We start from the raw sequence: 16,336 nt of genomic DNA on the forward strand, positions 1-16,336 counted from the left end.
TCATTTTAATACCATCTCTAAGACAGCAAAGGCAAATGCTACAGTATTACGTTTAGTTCACAGATGGGAAATTGAGACAGGGAACTTAAAGTAGCAAATGTCCAGTGTTGCAAAACCAGTACCTGAACCAAACCTAGAACCCAGGTCTTTGACTTGTGGCTGATAAGTTGGGGTGCTTAAACCTTCCTGAATTCCATGGTGTCTTAGCATCTTTTCTTTTCTTCTTTTTGTTCACTTTAAATTTTAAATTAGTCAATTCTGTAATGTTAGTAACTGACCGTCTGCTCACACGGAAGTCATTTATTTGCTACTTTCAACCATTCAGAATGGAGTTAAGAATTTGGAATTACCTCTTAAACAGCTAAAATAGACATCACGTTAGTTATCTATTGCTATTTAACAAAATTTCTTGAAGACTCAGTTGCCTGAACAATGATAATCATATATTCGCCCCAGTTTCTGAAGGCCAGCTGTTTAGGAGTGGCATGGCTGAGTGGTTGTAGCTCAGGTCTTTCATGAGGTTGCAGATAAGACGTCAGCCAGGGCTACTGTCATCTGAAGGCTCAACTAGGTCTGGGTGATCGGTTTCCAAGATGGCTTACAACTGGAAAATTGGTGCCATTGATTTAGCTATTGGCAGGGGAGCTCAGTTCCTGGCCACATGGACTCTCCACAGGGCAGCTTGATTGTGTCTTCCTGACATGGCAGCTGGCTTTCTCCAGAGTGTGTGATCACAAAGTTCATGATGGAAGCTGCAATACCTTTTATGATCTAGCCTTGGGATCTACCTCCCATAATTTCTACTGGTCAGTCCTGATTTAATAGTTTAATATACTCTCAGGGCCTTATTTTTCCCCTTCTGTAAAATAAAGGTGTCCCTAGGTGACACACATTTTCCTTACAAAGCCAGCATTCTGTGACTTACAATAACTATGTGATAGAATCTTAGTGAAGGACATTCATGTGGCTGATAGTGCAGAGGTGAGAATGGCAATGATTCAAGGGCTAACACCTTTGCTGCCTGGGCTTTTCTTCACCATTTCCAAGTGAGACCCACAGTGAGATGGCCTGGGAACACAGCACTAGGACCTCTAATTCCAGCTCCATCATTGAATAGCTTTATGATCTTGGGCATTGACTGTCTTGGGATTTCTATCAGAGTATCAACCTCCCAAGATTGTAGTAAGGACAGTGCCAATGACAGGGTTTGGCGCATAGTGTTTGAGCAATAGCCTTTGATTATGATAACTTCTAACATGCTCCGTAGTGGACTGAGGATGCATGAGAATCCTGGTCCACCAGCAACAGCAGGATAGAACATGGAGCCATGGTTTCTGAGCTCGTTATTAACAAAACATCTTAGTGAGGGCGGAGCAGTAATTAGATTCTCCAGAAAACATTGGACTTCAGTTTCCTGGAAGTGCTTTTATAGCTTTGTAATACCACAGAAGTAAACATTTTTCTCTTCTGCAATTGAAGGGCTGAGTGAGTCCACTGAGCGTTCTCTTCTTTGGGAGTGTTTCCTTTGGATAACATTCAAAACAGCAAAATCCTATTACCCATTCCAGAGTGGAAAGCCCCATTTTGACTGTGTTTGGCCAAAGATTAACTTCAAATTAATACCTAATGAGCAGGCAACTTCTCTCAACATATTTATTAAAGTCATATTTCAAGATTTCTAATGTATATGGTTTTCACTTAGGACCTTTTTTCTGAATCATGGTCAAAATATATAGACGAATAAAAATGTAAAACTTTTTACACATAATCCCACTTATTTATGACTAAGCACTTATATTAGTAAATTTTTTTTTATTTGCAAGTGACAGCTTATCTCAAAGTAGCATAAGAGAGGGAGAGAGAGAGGAAAGAAAGAACCTATTGGCTCATAAAATGCTTGAGTAAGACTCAGAAACAGATGATAACAGCTTCAGGCATGGCTAGATCCAAGGGCCATTAGGGTGTTTTATCTCAGTGTTTCTTGGACAGGCATATTAGCCATTGGTAGCTCAAGGCATACCTTATATTTGCACAGCAGCCCACATGAGGAAAGATCACCTCCCCTGACATTTCTGGCTGAAAGAGCCCAGGGAACAGTCTGACTTGTTCAGCTTGTGTCCCGTGCTCCTCCCTGGGCCTGTCACTGTGTCCATGAGGATGATGTCATCTATCTGATGAGACCAGCCTGGCCAACATGATGAAACCCCGCCTCTACTAAAAATACAAAAATTAGCTGGGTGTGGTGGTGGGCGCCTGAAGTCCCAGTTACTTGGAAGGCAGAGGCGTGAGAATTGCTTGAACCTGAGAGGTGGAGGTTGCAGTTAGCCGAGATTGTGCCACTGCCCTCCAGCCTGGGCGACAGAGCTAGACTCTGTCTCAAATAAAACAAAACAAAATAAAATAAAATAAAATAATAAATAAATAAATAAATAAATAAACTAAATAATCTGCTTGATGAGGCCTGAGAGACACGTCCTCACGTCCCTAACCATTCTACAACTCAAATAGTGTCAGTCTGCCTTTGCATCAATGTCTCCTCATTTCTACAAATAGTAAGAAAAATATTCTTCTGGTTTATTTCTTAACGCTGTCATGTAGGTAAATTGATGATCAGGTGATTGCCTTCCGTCGTGTGCTTGATTTTTCTGGGAGTGCAGTGTTGCATGGCAAAGACAGGTAGAGACATCTACAATGTTAAGTAAGACGCAGGCTTCCAAACCCAAGGCCGGCCACTCTAGCTGGGATTCTTGGAGGGGTATGGCTCCTCTTCCCTTCTCTTTTTGGGATAGAGAGAGAGCTCCGTCTCTTCCTGAGTTTTTAAGTCCCTGGCTATTTCATCCAGAGCCCAAAGTAGAAAGTCAGGTTAATGTGAAAAGCTTGATATGTATTCTTGATAAAAACTCAAAGCCTTTGCAGAGTCTTGCATTGGTTGAAATCAGGGGCTGGCGCCTCCAAATGAAAGGCAGCCACCATTCGTGTTGACTGACGCTCAAAGCCATGCCATTTCTGACGAGTCTATGTCCAATGCCAAGTCTGTGGTGTTTTTTTTTTTTTTTTTTTCCCTTTTCAGAAATGAAGGAGTGGAATCACTGGGGATACCTCCCGCAATAGGAAAGCCCCTTGAGAACTGAAACAAGTCATCTGTTTCTCAGGAGGAGCTGACCAAGAGCCCCCTCCTTTCGTGTGAATTTAAATTCCCCTTTTCATGAGACTTTTCTTAAAGACAAGGAAAAAAAGCTATCAGGGGAAAATGAATAATATGACATCGAAAGTATTGAAAGGCTTGAAATGATCCCACATGTGTCATCTGACTTTGAGAGGTGAAGGGGCTCCCGTCTGTACGTAGAGAGGCTGGCGTGCTGCCTGGATTACTTGTCTGATGTCACATGCTAATGGGATCCCAGCTAGAATGCTGGCAACTCTGACTGTAACAACCTCAGACACCTTTGCGCACAGCTTCAGTTTCAAATTAATTTTCACATCCTCCTTAGGAAACTGGGCCCTCCGTAATCAACAGAACTCTGCATCGCACATCCTAACATTGAAACTCACCTGAGCACAAGGATCCTACAGTTCTCCTAGACAGACCTCAAGAACCCGCACAGACCCTCGGGGCACACTCCCCTGTGTGTTTTGGAACAAATAGTCACTCTCTGTGTTTTCAAATGTCCTTTGGCCTTTTGTCAAATCCACACTGACCTCTTTTCAAATGCGTGTGGTCAGTGTTATTTTTCAAAGGCCCTTTGAAGTTTGCTTTGTTGCCTTCCCTCCCTGTGGGTCACAGAGCAATTACTGGAAGATTTGTGGGAGGCCGCTTTTGGCTTTGTGTACATGTGAACGCCTGTTTATAAATCAGGTGAGTTAAGAACTGTGATGTGGGGGTCCCCAGCTTCCAGCTAGCAGCAGCTTCCCAATTCCTTCTGCGTGAGGATCACCAGAAAATAACCAAAGCCAAAATTTCATTCTGAGTCTGTGGGGTTTTCTACAACAGGTCCCGTGTCTTCTTTCTTGGCCCCATCCTTCCCTGTGGCTTCCCTCTCCTTGGAGTTAAATACTGGCTGGATGTCAGGCTGGGGACCCTCAGTGCACCCCACTGGCCCAAGTGGGGCACCGGGAGCGTGTTCCAGGCCTGCCAAGGTGGCAGTGTGTGCATCCCCTCTCTCAGGGTTCTTCTAGCTGTAATTTCAAGATTGGGAGCTTTTCCTGACAGCGCAGAGTCCACTTGCCCTACATTTAATTGACTTCACAAACTTTCAGTTCCCTGTCTGTAAATGGGGTTAGTATGTAAATGGGACTGCTGCAAGGATACATGAGAGAATACCTATGGGATTAGAGGGACCCTTGTCCTCACCACTCCATCAGGCAAGGAGGGAAGCCCCCGTCAGATTAATTGGATAACTGGAGCTGCCTGCAGTCATAAAACGAAATCATGTTTGTATAGGGACCTCTACGATCCAGACACATCACTTCATTGCATCCTCATGCCCATCCTGTGCGGAGGTTATGGTTGTTACCTCATTTTGACAATGAAGCATCAAAGGTTGAGAGGTAAAGAGACTTTTCACTCTGTAACCTATCTTTTTCCCACTAGGGTGGAACCACTCATAAATAACTGTATTCATAAAATGTTACAGTTCCGTGGGAAACAACGCAACTTGGCAACTCGTAGAAAGACTTTGTGAGACTATGTGGGGCTATTTGTATCTTAAGCTAATTGAGGCAAAGAGCTAGGGAAGGAGACGGGCTTTCTATCACAGCCCTGCCTCCGTCCTTTCCTTATGAGGATTCCAGACTCTCCCACATATCGTGTACCTGATGACAAGGCACAGGATAAGGTGACCAGAGGTGCTCAGACAGTGGCTTTCTCACCAGAGGTAATGACATTCTGATCAAGATTGGATTGATCACTGGCTCTTCTCATGCCACATTTTCACATCAAGTGTTGAAGGCCACTGTCTTCTTCTTTGTCCTGTGGTTACACAACATTGAGTGGAGGAATGTTCTGGCCGTGTGTCCACACAGCCTTGAGGCATCCCAAGAGAGTGGGAAGATCAAAGATTTGGGAATCAGAAAAAGCAAGTGAGAAGACCAGTGCTGTCATCCAACAGCTGTGTGCCTGGAATCACTCTGACCTGTCTCAACTTCATTTTACTCTTTTGTAATATGGGTTTTTGACACCTACATTGCATGGCTATTGTGAGGATTTAATGAGATAAAGTATGTAAAGTTCTTGTCACAGAAGACAGTCAACAAGTTAAAGCTGACATGTCCTTCCACCTCGAGGGTCTCAAACCTCAAGTGCATGCTGTCTCTATCTCTCTCTCTCTCTGTCCCCTCTCATCGTACCCTTACACCCTTTGGACAATTATGTGACCTCTCAGAGCCTCAGTGTCTTCAACTCTAATAGAGAATCACAGAGTTGCTGGAATGCCCAGGACAACGAAATTCTAAATTAATGCTTTCAATCCCAGGTGCAGTTTCCCTGTGTTTGTGCAGGGCTGGGCCGAGTTAGGAGCCTGAATCTCTCTCCACCTCCATGGCTTCTCCAGGAGGCTTCATCTTGCTGCGGAGGTGGACTGCAGATGGCCACTGCCACCACTCCTCAGAGGGCATGTTATACTGGTGGAGTTAATAACTGACACCTGGGAGATTAGGTCTGTGGCTCTCCTTTCTCTCTAGTGATGATCAGTTCTATCCATGGGGACTCAGAACGGAGGGCCAGAGAGGACTGCAGAAACAAAGTCCAGAGATGTGAAGTGACTTGTCCAAGATCCCAAAGCTTGTCCATGTCTGAATCACGATAAACAACTTCAGGGATGGTCTCTCTATGATATTTAAAACAGTGTGTGTTGTCTTCTGCTTTTCCTTTGATTTGGAGCCTGCTGTTATAACACTGTCTTGTTGGACTGCCACGTGTCCACTGGGAATTGCTCCCAGAGCAGAATTGGACTCAGCAGGGCTGCAGCGGAGTGTGGTGAAAGGACTGCTGAACAGGGTGGGGAGCAGAGGTCTGAGGGCCAGTCTCCCTATCCACTGCTGACTTTTCTTGGGTATTTGAGGTTTTCCTAGGTTTAAATTAGTTGAATAAAATAGATAGTTTTCAGGCCTTTTGATTGTTCAATGCTCTGGAATTGGAGCCCTTTGGACAGAAGAAATTTACATGTCACCTTAAAACATACATAAAAAAGTGCAAAGCTGCTCCAGTTGAAGTTAGAAGAGGAAAGCAAGAACCTCTTTCCCTGGGCACCCCTGAAGCACATTGCGGAACCCTGGGCCTCCTCAGAGCACAGTCTGGAAACCTCCAGACTGGAGGCCTCTAAGATCTTCTGGTGGGATGATAAGTGTGAGATGCATCCAGAGGTACTACCAAAGATCTTCACTTCTCCAGGGTCCTCCCAGGAATATACATTTGTCTCAGAAGCCAGCAAACTCCCTTGTCTTCCCTTCACTTCCTGCCCATGTGCCAAGGTGGTAGGTTTCAGAGTTAATGGAAAGCTGGGACTTGACCCTGTTCCTCAAGGAGCTTATTCTTAAACTTTCAAGGCAGATGCCCCACGAATGTTTGAAAAATAGATGAAAACACCTCTTTTGAGGGATACAGAAGCCAAAAACTGTGCCTAGCACCCAGTCCTCAGTAAGAAGTACATTTGGCATGGTGCCCAGAGCATATATGCTTATCCATATGAATGCCATAAAAAACCTGGAGAGAATCCATTCTCTTTGTTTCATTAAAAAGATGCTGGTGGTGAGCCACTGACGTGCTTTTGTGATCCCTTAATGGGTTGTGCTCTGGAGAACGCTGGCACGGGTGTGCTCACTGGTTACTCCCTGCAACCACACTGGGGTCACATTTAGGTCTCTTTTGCTACATCTAAGGTCAGCAAACTATGACCCACTGACAAACTGTGGGTGGTCACCTACTTCTGTATGGCTCAGGGACACTCTGCAAGCGCTGTGAGCTGCAGGACCCAAGCTGAGGTGGTTCCATCTGTCCCTGTCCCCTACTTGGCTTCCAGCACCTGCCTCCCCTGCCAGAGGACTCACCTTCCTGCCACACAGGGCCCATGCTGGTCACTCCTACAGCATGGGGGCTCTGCTGTTGCAATGCGGGGCGCCAGGCTGCAGAATCTAAGTCTGGGAATTGGTGACGTGTTAGCTTCACTTCCGTTCAGCTGTCCAGAGGGAGGGGGCCGGGATCTCCAGGAGGAGCTGGTTTGGTTGTCCCTGGGGCAAAGAGAGAAAATGACCGTGGTGGCCAAGTCCCCTTCAACTCCCTAAGCCCACTGAGCTGGCTTGCCAGGCCCCTCCCTCCATCAGGCTGCCCTTCTTCCCAGGACCGTCTCCAGTGGGTTCAGGGCACACTGTGCCTGCCCACAGGAAGCCCACCCCAGGCAGATAGGGCCAGGCATGCAGAGGTTTCTCTCTTGTTATAGAAGTATCTACATTATATAAATACACACACATATATCATATATATTTTATGTATATATAACATATGAAATATGCTTCTTGGCCTACAGTGTCTAAAATATTTACTATTTTAGAAATGTTTGCCTCTCCCAGTGCTACCTGATTATGGCTGTGCGTTACATGACCCTATAAAGATTTAACTGCTTTTAATAACAATAAACAATAATATTAGCTACCATTTATTGAGGCTCAGAAAGGTTGAGTAACTTGCCTAAAGTCACACAGCTAGTAAATGGCAGAGCGGGATCTTGCAGTGATGGTTTCGAGGGAGAGGAGAATCACTGACAGACTTGGTTCCTGCCATGCAGATGCAGGCGTCCCCTGGGACTTCAGCTTCTCCAGGGCCACCCTCACTCCAGAACTGCTGGTCAGCTCTGTGACCCATCTCTCCTCATGAGCTTGCTCTGGGGTGGCTGCCAAAGCTTCTTTTTAATTATTATGGTCATGCGTGAGAACACTGGGGCCAGAAGCTTCTATTTTTCCAGCGTTTTCTTTCCTGTGGGGCCTCCCAGCTTCAGCCATTCCTTTGTAACTTGGCTGACACCCCTCCAGTTTCCACTTCACTTCATGGGTTCAGAGAAGAGACCATGGTTGCTAAGCCCTGCTGAGTGTCATTTCTGGTGTGTCAGAGTTGACAATTCTCCTGCTTCTTGACTACTCCTGACTCATCTTTACAGAACAGACACATCTCACTTCTTGAGCATCACTGAAGAATGTTCTGTAAAGTAAAATTTCCAGGAAACAGAGCTTACTGCTCAGAACACTCAACTTTAGAAACTTGGAACTATTTTGCACATTAATCTTTGCAGAATCAATTTCACCATGGCTTGCACTCTGAAGCAGAGCTCATGGCACACATTTAACCTTTTCTGAAAACTTAGTACACCCACGCATTCTTAAGCAGAGGTCATTGCATACATTTAATCTTTTCTTGGTAACTTAACACGTCCATTGAAAACAGTAGTGATTATGTATGCCGCAGCAGACAGACAGCATGAGATGGTGGTGACCTTAAGAAATTTATATAAGATCTTGAGGTTTCTGACTCTTCATCTGTGAATGGGGAAAAGAGTAGTTCTGAACCTGTGGGATTAGGGGAGGGGGAAATGAGATAATACATGGAAAGCCCTTGGCATGAGGCTTGGCACATAGTGCCCTAGGATCCCCTGGCAGGAGCGTCTTAAACGTGATTGCTAGGGCCCCATCCAAGGCCAGCCAGATCAATATCTCCAGGGCTGCTGCTGCTCCAGCATCGAGGCTTCTGTTTTCATCTGAGCTCAGCTGCAGCTCTAGTTGGCAACCAGAGATTCTAGGTGTGTCCAGGTGTTTGCCCCAACACTAAATTCCCCATCCTGCTGAAGCTTTGAGAGTTCATATTTTCTTTTTGGAGTTCTTTTCTGCCTCCTCCGTTTCCTAATGCTCTTACAAGCAGCTGATATTTACTAAGGGCCAGTCTCCTAGGCACTGACTGCACTGAGCACTTTGATCAAACACTTTTGTGACTCTTTCACCTTCACCCCAACCTGGTCCCAGGTGGCCACAGTGTTGTTCTCAGGGCCGTGCAGGTGCCCATAGGGTGCATGCCCCTTAAATTTGGGGCCTTAGGCACCTGCTTGCCTTCCCCTAGTTCCAGCCCCAGCCCACCGAGCCCCTGCTCTATTTTCCCCCCTTCATTCTCCACCAGAGTCAGAATCCACGTGGTTTTCTCACTGGTGTGCCAGCCCTTAGAACTGTGCTTGCACACAGTAGGTACTCATGAGTGCATGAGCAAGCGAGTGAGCCCCACAGGGACCCTGTGCATTAGGTTCCATCATTATGCATCATTCCTCTTTTCAGATGAGGAAGCTGAGGCACTCACAGGCTAAATAATTTGCCCAAGGTCCTCAGTAAGTGGAGGCTCCACCCTGGCTCTGAGGTCTTGGCCCTCGCAGACTGCTTCCTGATTCTGTCACTTTGGCTGCCCTGAGACGCTCTGGCTTGCAAAGGGCTCCTCAGTCCGGGAAACCAGTCAACATATTTCTAAAAGGAATTGTGTGATAAGTAAGAGGCCCTGAGTATCTAGGGAGTGTTTTCTCCCTCCCTTTTCCTAACAAGATAAGCCCCGCTATTATTTTCCAACAGATAAAACTGTGAGCTGAGGAAATTTGAAATTTTCTTAATTCTCAGCCCAGTTCTTGACCCAGTTCCTGTTATCCACCACCCAGCAGTGGTGTTTGTCCCTGGGCTGCTGGTTGCCTCTGATGGCTCATTTAGCCTCAGGGAAAGGTGGAAGAAAATGAAAACATCCCAGAGGGAGAGTTAGGCCTCCCAAGAGCGAGTGGCTGCCCCCCTCCAGCTCACAGGTATCTGGCCAGGGTGGGGGCACCGCTGTGTTGTAGACATGCTCCTTAAAGAGTGCTTTGTTCCCACTTGGAGTAGGGGACCCTCCCTCATAGGGCTGTGGCCTCTCTGCCAGCCAGGAAGGGCCTGAAGTCTGATGGAGGAGGGCATCTGAGGACAGGGTCTGAGAGTACACGGTGTGCTGGCCTGCTCTGTGGCTGGGGTCCTTGGGCGACTGCAGGCTGAGGCTGCTCAGCAGTGAGGAATGCTGAGTCAAGAGGATGAACAGCTTCTTTCTGAGAAGCCAGGGTGATCGCTGAGTCATGCCACTCTTGGCTAACACATGTGCAGCCTGCCCGGGGCTTTAGGGCTGAGCATAACCAGTCCTGCTTTTTATCTTCTCTTTCTCAACCCCATCTCTTCTTCAGGAAACATTTACCAGATGTGTGGCTTGAGTGTCCATTCCCGCAACAAAAACGCTCTGCAGTAAAGCTCCGAGATGGCTGTGTTTGTGTTGGACTGCTCTAGATGGTAACTTTGAACTGTGTCTTTCTGCTACTGCCTAGCTGCCTCCTTGCTCTCAGGGAAAGAGCTTCATTTTATTGCAAACGTATGATTAAAGTCATACATGGTCAATATTCTGAACTTTCTATCAGTTCTTAGCATCCCCACGAGGAAGCCTGGCTAATAATGGTGTAAACACAGTGATGGGGCTGTGTGGACTCTGAACTCGCTTCCAGGAATCTCTGAGCTGGGAGTCTGGTGACATGAATTCCATGTGCCGTGTTTTATTCATACCGCCCTGAAGTAAGAGCCATAGAGTTTAACCCCCTACAGAGTGGCTTGTTTCTAATTGATAGGGCTGATTGCCCATCATGAGGGTGGGCCTTTTTTATTGGACTTATTAAGAGACAATAGACTATGTGCATGCAGCCCAGAGTGCATAGAGCAATTTTGAGCCAGTCACGGACACGGAGAGCGGAGGGGAAGGGATAATGGGGCCGTGAGAGGCTCTCCTGCCCTAGGGTACCTCTCTTCCCTGGTATCATGCCCTCATTTCATGGTTGAGGAGAGGAGGAGGTAATGGGATCAGGGAGAGGGTGCACTTGGGAAGAAGAGGGTATATTTCTGGGAAGCCTCATGTAACATGAATGTGTGGTGCAGAGGGCCTGGAGGAAAGTCGCAGTGACTTTGGTATGGGGCAGAGAAGATCATGAACATGGGCACTGTGATAGTGGGGCTGACTTGATACCACCCGCTCCCACTGCCCTCCCACCGCCCTCCCTGTTCTCCAGCTTGTTTGAGGAGTGGTCTGAGCCCTCACCATGTCAATGCTTCACAGCTTCTCCCAACGTCTCAGTGCTGTTGCGTCTGCCTTCTGAAGCGTGTTAAATGTGCATTTCCCTCCGTGTCCACTGCCTTAGCCTGGAGCCCCTTCATCAAGCCCCGGGGACTGTTGTTCCAGCTACTAACTGGTCTCCCTGCCTCTACTTTCCCCTGCTCCAACCCTCTCCCAGCTTCCTAGACAGGGCATCTTTCTGAAGCACAGATCCCTCCTGACAGAGTCTTCCGTGGGAGAAAAAATTAACAACCTGTTATCAAGCATGGCCCCTGAGCCTTTGTCCCCCTGCGGAATGGGGCAGATCCCACTCAGAGGGCAGCACCCTTCCCAGGTTGCTCAAGACCCCTCATCCCCACTTAAGGGGACTAGGGGATTGCATGTGCGGGGCAGGGGCACTGCAGGGAGCACCTGGAGGAGTCCTAACCAGCAGCACCTCACTGGTGCTACACTGCCCAGCTGCTCTCGGTGAGTCAGCACACTGTGGTTGAGCAATGCGAGCCCAGAGGCAGAGTCCAACGTGCTTTGCAGGACTTAGAGGCATTTCCCGGACTCGCGGAGACCTACCTTTCTATTGACTCTCTCTATTTTTTTTTTTTAAACAGTGGCCACCACCCTCCCCCAACCTTGTGCCTTTCCTGGAGCCCCGTCTGCTTTTTTCCTTGCATGTTTTGCACATGCTGTTGGCTTCTGCCATGTGCTTCGTCCTCTTCTCTGTCCAGTGCAGCCCTTTCTGACTTTTCAGTCCCTGCCCAGCTGCAAAGTCTTCCTTCACCCCTTGGGTGCTTTGTGCGCTTGTTTGTTGTAGTGCTTCTCAGGTCTTGTTTTATTTTCTCAATCTGATTTTTAAAGATGAACTTATTTTGTTCTAATTCACAAACAAGAAAATGCACCTGTTTTAAGTGTGCAGTTTGACGAATTTTGAAAAATGTATAGACCTGTGTAATAACCACAACAGGCAAGATATAGGATATTTCTAACCCCTCAAAAGATTCCCTTCTGCCCCTTCCTGGTCAATTCCCCTTACCCCAGTCCTACAAAATTATTGGTTTGATTTCTATCATTATAGATTTGAAGGTCTTTCCTGGAGCTTCATATAAATGGAGCATAGAGTACGTGCTTGTGTGTGTCTAGTTTCTTGCACTCAGAATGATGTTTTGGGATTCATCCATGTTGTGTGCGCCAGTAGATCATGAGCACTATTCAATTGTGTGACTGTGCCACAGTTAGTTTACCAGTTCTCCTGCAGCTTGGGCACTTTCTAATTTTGGGCTATTATTTTTAAACTTACTCTGCAGTACAGCTGTTTCATGGGCAGATATTTTTATTCTCTTGAGTAGACACCTAGGAATGGAACTACTGAGTCAAAGACAGGCATATATTTAGTTTTATATGAAAGTGCCAGCATTCCCCCCCGAGTGGCTGCAGCATTGCACATTCTCCCCAGCAGCGCAGAGAGCTCTGGTTGCTCCGCATCTTTGCCGACATTTGTTCTTGCCCATCTTCTAAATTTTAGCCGTTCTGATAGGTGTGCAGCACTCGCTTGTTGCGTTAATTTACATTCCCCTTTATCACAGTGTATTTTAATTATCTGCTTAAGAGTCAGTCTCACCCGTCAGAATTCAGTGCAGGGAAACTGCATTCACTTTTGCTGGTTGAATGAACAGTCTGAACGCCACATGGTCCTTTTCCTCACTCCACTTAAAATCAAACAGGGACAGCCGGGTGTGGTGGCTCAAGCCTGTAATCCCAGCACTTTCAGAGGCTGAGGTGGGTGGATCACCTGAGGTCAGGGGTTCAAGACCAGCCTGGCCAACATGGTGAAACCCTGTCTCTACTAAAAATATGAGAAATGAGCTGGGCCTGGCGGCGGCGCCTATAATCCCAACTACTCGGGAGGCTGAGGCAGGAGAATTCCTTGAATCCAGAAGGCAGAGGTTGTAGTGAGCCGAGATCGTGCCACTAGACTCCAGCCTGGGCAACACAGCAAGACTCCATCTCAAAACAAACCAAAACAAAAAAACTCCAGTACATCCTGGACAGATGATGCATTGGTGCCAGGTGAAGGTGGGGTGACTGACCATCCCAGTGTGCCCAGGCCTGAGGGATCTCTTGGGCTGCAGGACATTCAATCCTAAAACCAGGACTATCTTGGGCAAACTAGGATGGCTGGTCATCCAGGGAAGGTAAGGGGCCAGCATGAAGATAGCAGTGTGACATTTAGTCATAATTACACCAAAATGGGACTTTCTTTCTCTATAATTGATCTTAACTTAGCTCATGAATCCCTACTTCTGCTTATGGTGGAAAAATTCAGTTTTTTCCAGCTGGTATGGTTTGAATGTGTCCCCACCCAACTCTCACCTTGAATTTTAATAATTCCCACTTGTCAAGGGTGAGGCCAGGCCGGGCACGGTGGCTCACGCCTGTAATCCCAGCACTTTGGGAGGCCGAGGTGGGCAGATCACGAGGTCAGGAGATCGAGACCATCCTGGCTAACACGGTGGAACCCTGTCTCTACTAAAAATACAAAAAATTAGCTGGGCGTGGTGGCAGGCACCTGTAGTCCCAGCTATTTGGGAGGCTGAGGCAGGAGAATGGCGTGAACCCGGGAGGCGGAGGTTGCAGTGAGCTGAGATCGCCCACTGCACTCCAGCCTGGGTGACAGAGCGAGACTCTGTCTTAGAAAAAAAAAAAAAAAGGGGGTGAAGGGGTGAGGCCAGGTGGAGATAACTGAATCATGGGGGCAGTCTCCCTGATACTGTTCTCAAGGTAGTGAATAGGCCTCATGAGATTTGATGGTTTTATAAAGGGCAGTTCCCCTGCACACACTCTCTTGCCTGAAGCCATGGCAGCCATGTAAGATGTGACATTGCTCCTCATTTGCCTTCTGCCATGATTGTGAGGCCTCCCCAGCCATGTGGAACTGTGAGTCCATTAAACCTCTTTCCTTGATAAATTACCCAGTCTTGGGTATGTCTTTATGAGCAGTGTGAGAACAGACTAATACACCATCTCAGGGTCACTCAGGTCCTCTCAGTCCTACATATGGTTACTTAAGGGTTTGAAAGAGCTCAAGATTCTTTGCCTTTCTTCTTTTCCTCTCTTCTCTCATTGCTGCCCACAATTGGAGCTGCTTAGTGATATGGACCTGGTCACTGCACCTTGTGCTGTTGATTTCTGTGTGTCCTGCATGGGCCCTGCATGGGTCCGTGGGGCACGTGCTTTGTAGGAATAGCCCAGGAACTTTCCAAAACCCTTCTGTAGCTTGCTGGGGTGATTTGAACCTTGAGACTTCCCTCAAGCCCATCTTCCCAGGTATCCCTCCCTCCCCTACCCACTGCCAACCCCCTTGTTGCCCATCCACAGGCTCCATCGTGGAGTGGGCTTCAATCCAAGGTTTACAGTCTCTGGCTGGAGCCTGGAAATCAACACAATTTCCTCGTTTTCTCATGCCCCCTACTCCCTAACTTCCATTTCTGCCCCAACCCTAGTCATCTTCCCTCAGTGTTCATTGTGTTATGTGCTGGTTCAAACGTGTACTTCCCTTGAACAGGAACTCTCTGGTTTATGGCATAACGTTATGCTCCAGGCTCTTGATATATAAGGATATGTTCTAGAGTTCCAACAAATAAAAGCAAAAATAAAACCAAAATTCTTCTCTCTCAAGTGGCAGACTTAAAAGTCAAGGTTTTTAAGATTCACATTTTGAAAAATCAGCTTGGTGACTATGCTGGTTTCTCGACTCCATCCTGTGCTTGCCCTCCTGTCAGGGCAGTGCCCGGCGAATGCAACCTGCTGCCTTAGTGTGGGGGCAGAAGGCATAGGGGAGGATGGAGGAGAGAGTCGGCTCTGGAGTGAGGTTTGAAGGCTTACTGGAGATGTGTGACCGGAGATTGACTTTAAAGGGCAAACTTTGGCTAAGGGGGTGCGGGGGCTGGAAACCCCTTCCACAGAAGAAACCTGGCAAGAATCAAAGCACAAAGTTGGCTGCGCCTGGTGTCAGCCCCTGATAAGCAGCCTGACTGCAGGGGAGGACGTGGCTACAGGGCAGATAAGATGTAAGGGTGGCTGAGGAGGTCCCTGGGCAGTTTATCTCATACCTCCCACTGGCTTCTGCGAGCCCAGGTGGGTGCCAAGGTTAGCCACCTCCCCCAAACCTGCTCTCCTATTCGCAGCACAACCCTCCTGGACAAAGCGTTTTTCCTCAGCCTTCACCACCCATGGAGGAGGTGTGATTACCTCTATTCACAGAAAGGAGACTGGGACCCAACCAAGGCAAGTCATTTGCTTCAGACCACAGAGCAAAGAATCATTCTGTCATTCCAGAAATATTTGTCAGGCGCCCCTGGTGTGTCAGGTAGGTGCACCTTGAACATTTGTTTAATTTGTACTTAATAACATTTTCAAGAGGACATTACCTCCTTAAGTGAAAAATCTGTGAGGAGTTTTCTATCTTTCTAAGTCTTTGTGGCACACTTATCACATGCATAGTACTATTTCTCAAGTTACCCAGGCACACACAGATGTATGGCTTTCAGGAAGCCATACATCTGTGTAGCTCTGAGGCCCAGCCTTGTTCAACACTTCACTCAGAAGAATTGCTGGCCTGATGACCAACAATAATTGTCAACAACTTAAAACTTCATTGACGGCTCCTAAAAAAAATCAGTGTGCATGTGTGTGTGTATGTGTGTGTGCGTGTGTGTGTGTGTGTGTGTATGAGTGTGTGTATAACATTCATTACTGCAAACTGGAATGGAGTGGGGCTGGAAGGCAGCCCAGAAGCAAGGCTCAGAGCCTGGAGCTGCTGACCTCTTGGGGACACTGCAGCCCTGGCCTGGCCTACTTTTCTCTTCTCCCATATCTGGAAAATGAAAGTAGCCTGACGTATCCGGGGACCCGGCCCAAGACTCCACCCATTGGCAGCTCTTCACTTGTATCTTTTCATATCAAAAATGGGAGGTGACACCCAGTTTAAGGAAAATTCCAAGGCATTTGTCTCGACTAATGTGAAAGATGATTACAGTGGCCAGAGGACTGCCAAGGCTCCTTCTCAAGCTGCTTGAGTCAATGAGGGTAAGGTTTTAAAGGGCCCGCCCTGGCTTCCTTGGGCCTGTAGTTTGTGACTGTGTCGTTTTCAGAGTGGGAAGGCCCAGAGTTGGCCCCATGGAATTCTTTCTGCTTCTAGGGTGTTTGAAGAGATAG

General features: G+C 47.3%; 1 protein-coding gene across 3 annotated transcripts in view, besides 1 other annotated feature; it reads left to right on the forward strand.

Annotated features, from left to right (window-relative positions):
- Positions 3,447-4,029: an enhancer, noted in NCBI's record as "NANOG-H3K4me1 hESC enhancer chr2:102674234-102674816 (GRCh37/hg19 assembly coordinates)". NCBI's record gives its function as "activates a minimal SCP1, AML or CMV promoter by ChIP-STARR-seq in naive H9 embryonic stem cells {active_cell/tissue: H9 hESC(naive)}" and the evidence as "EXISTENCE:reporter gene assay evidence [ECO:0000049][PMID:30033119]".
- The window catches only part of IL1R1 (interleukin 1 receptor type 1), a 109,485-nt gene continuing 109,212 nt past the window's right edge, over positions 16,064-16,336 (forward strand). For all 3 annotated transcript variants that reach the window (XM_011511115.3, NM_001320978.2, NM_001288706.2), the window contains exon 1: positions 16,064-16,207. The gene's annotated coding sequence lies outside the window, so the exon portion shown is untranslated. The remainder of the gene's footprint in view (positions 16,208-16,336) is intronic.

Source organism: Homo sapiens, chromosome 2 (genome assembly GCF_000001405.40).
Source record: "Homo sapiens chromosome 2, GRCh38.p14 Primary Assembly".
Taxonomy (NCBI): domain Eukaryota; kingdom Metazoa; phylum Chordata; class Mammalia; order Primates; family Hominidae; genus Homo; species Homo sapiens.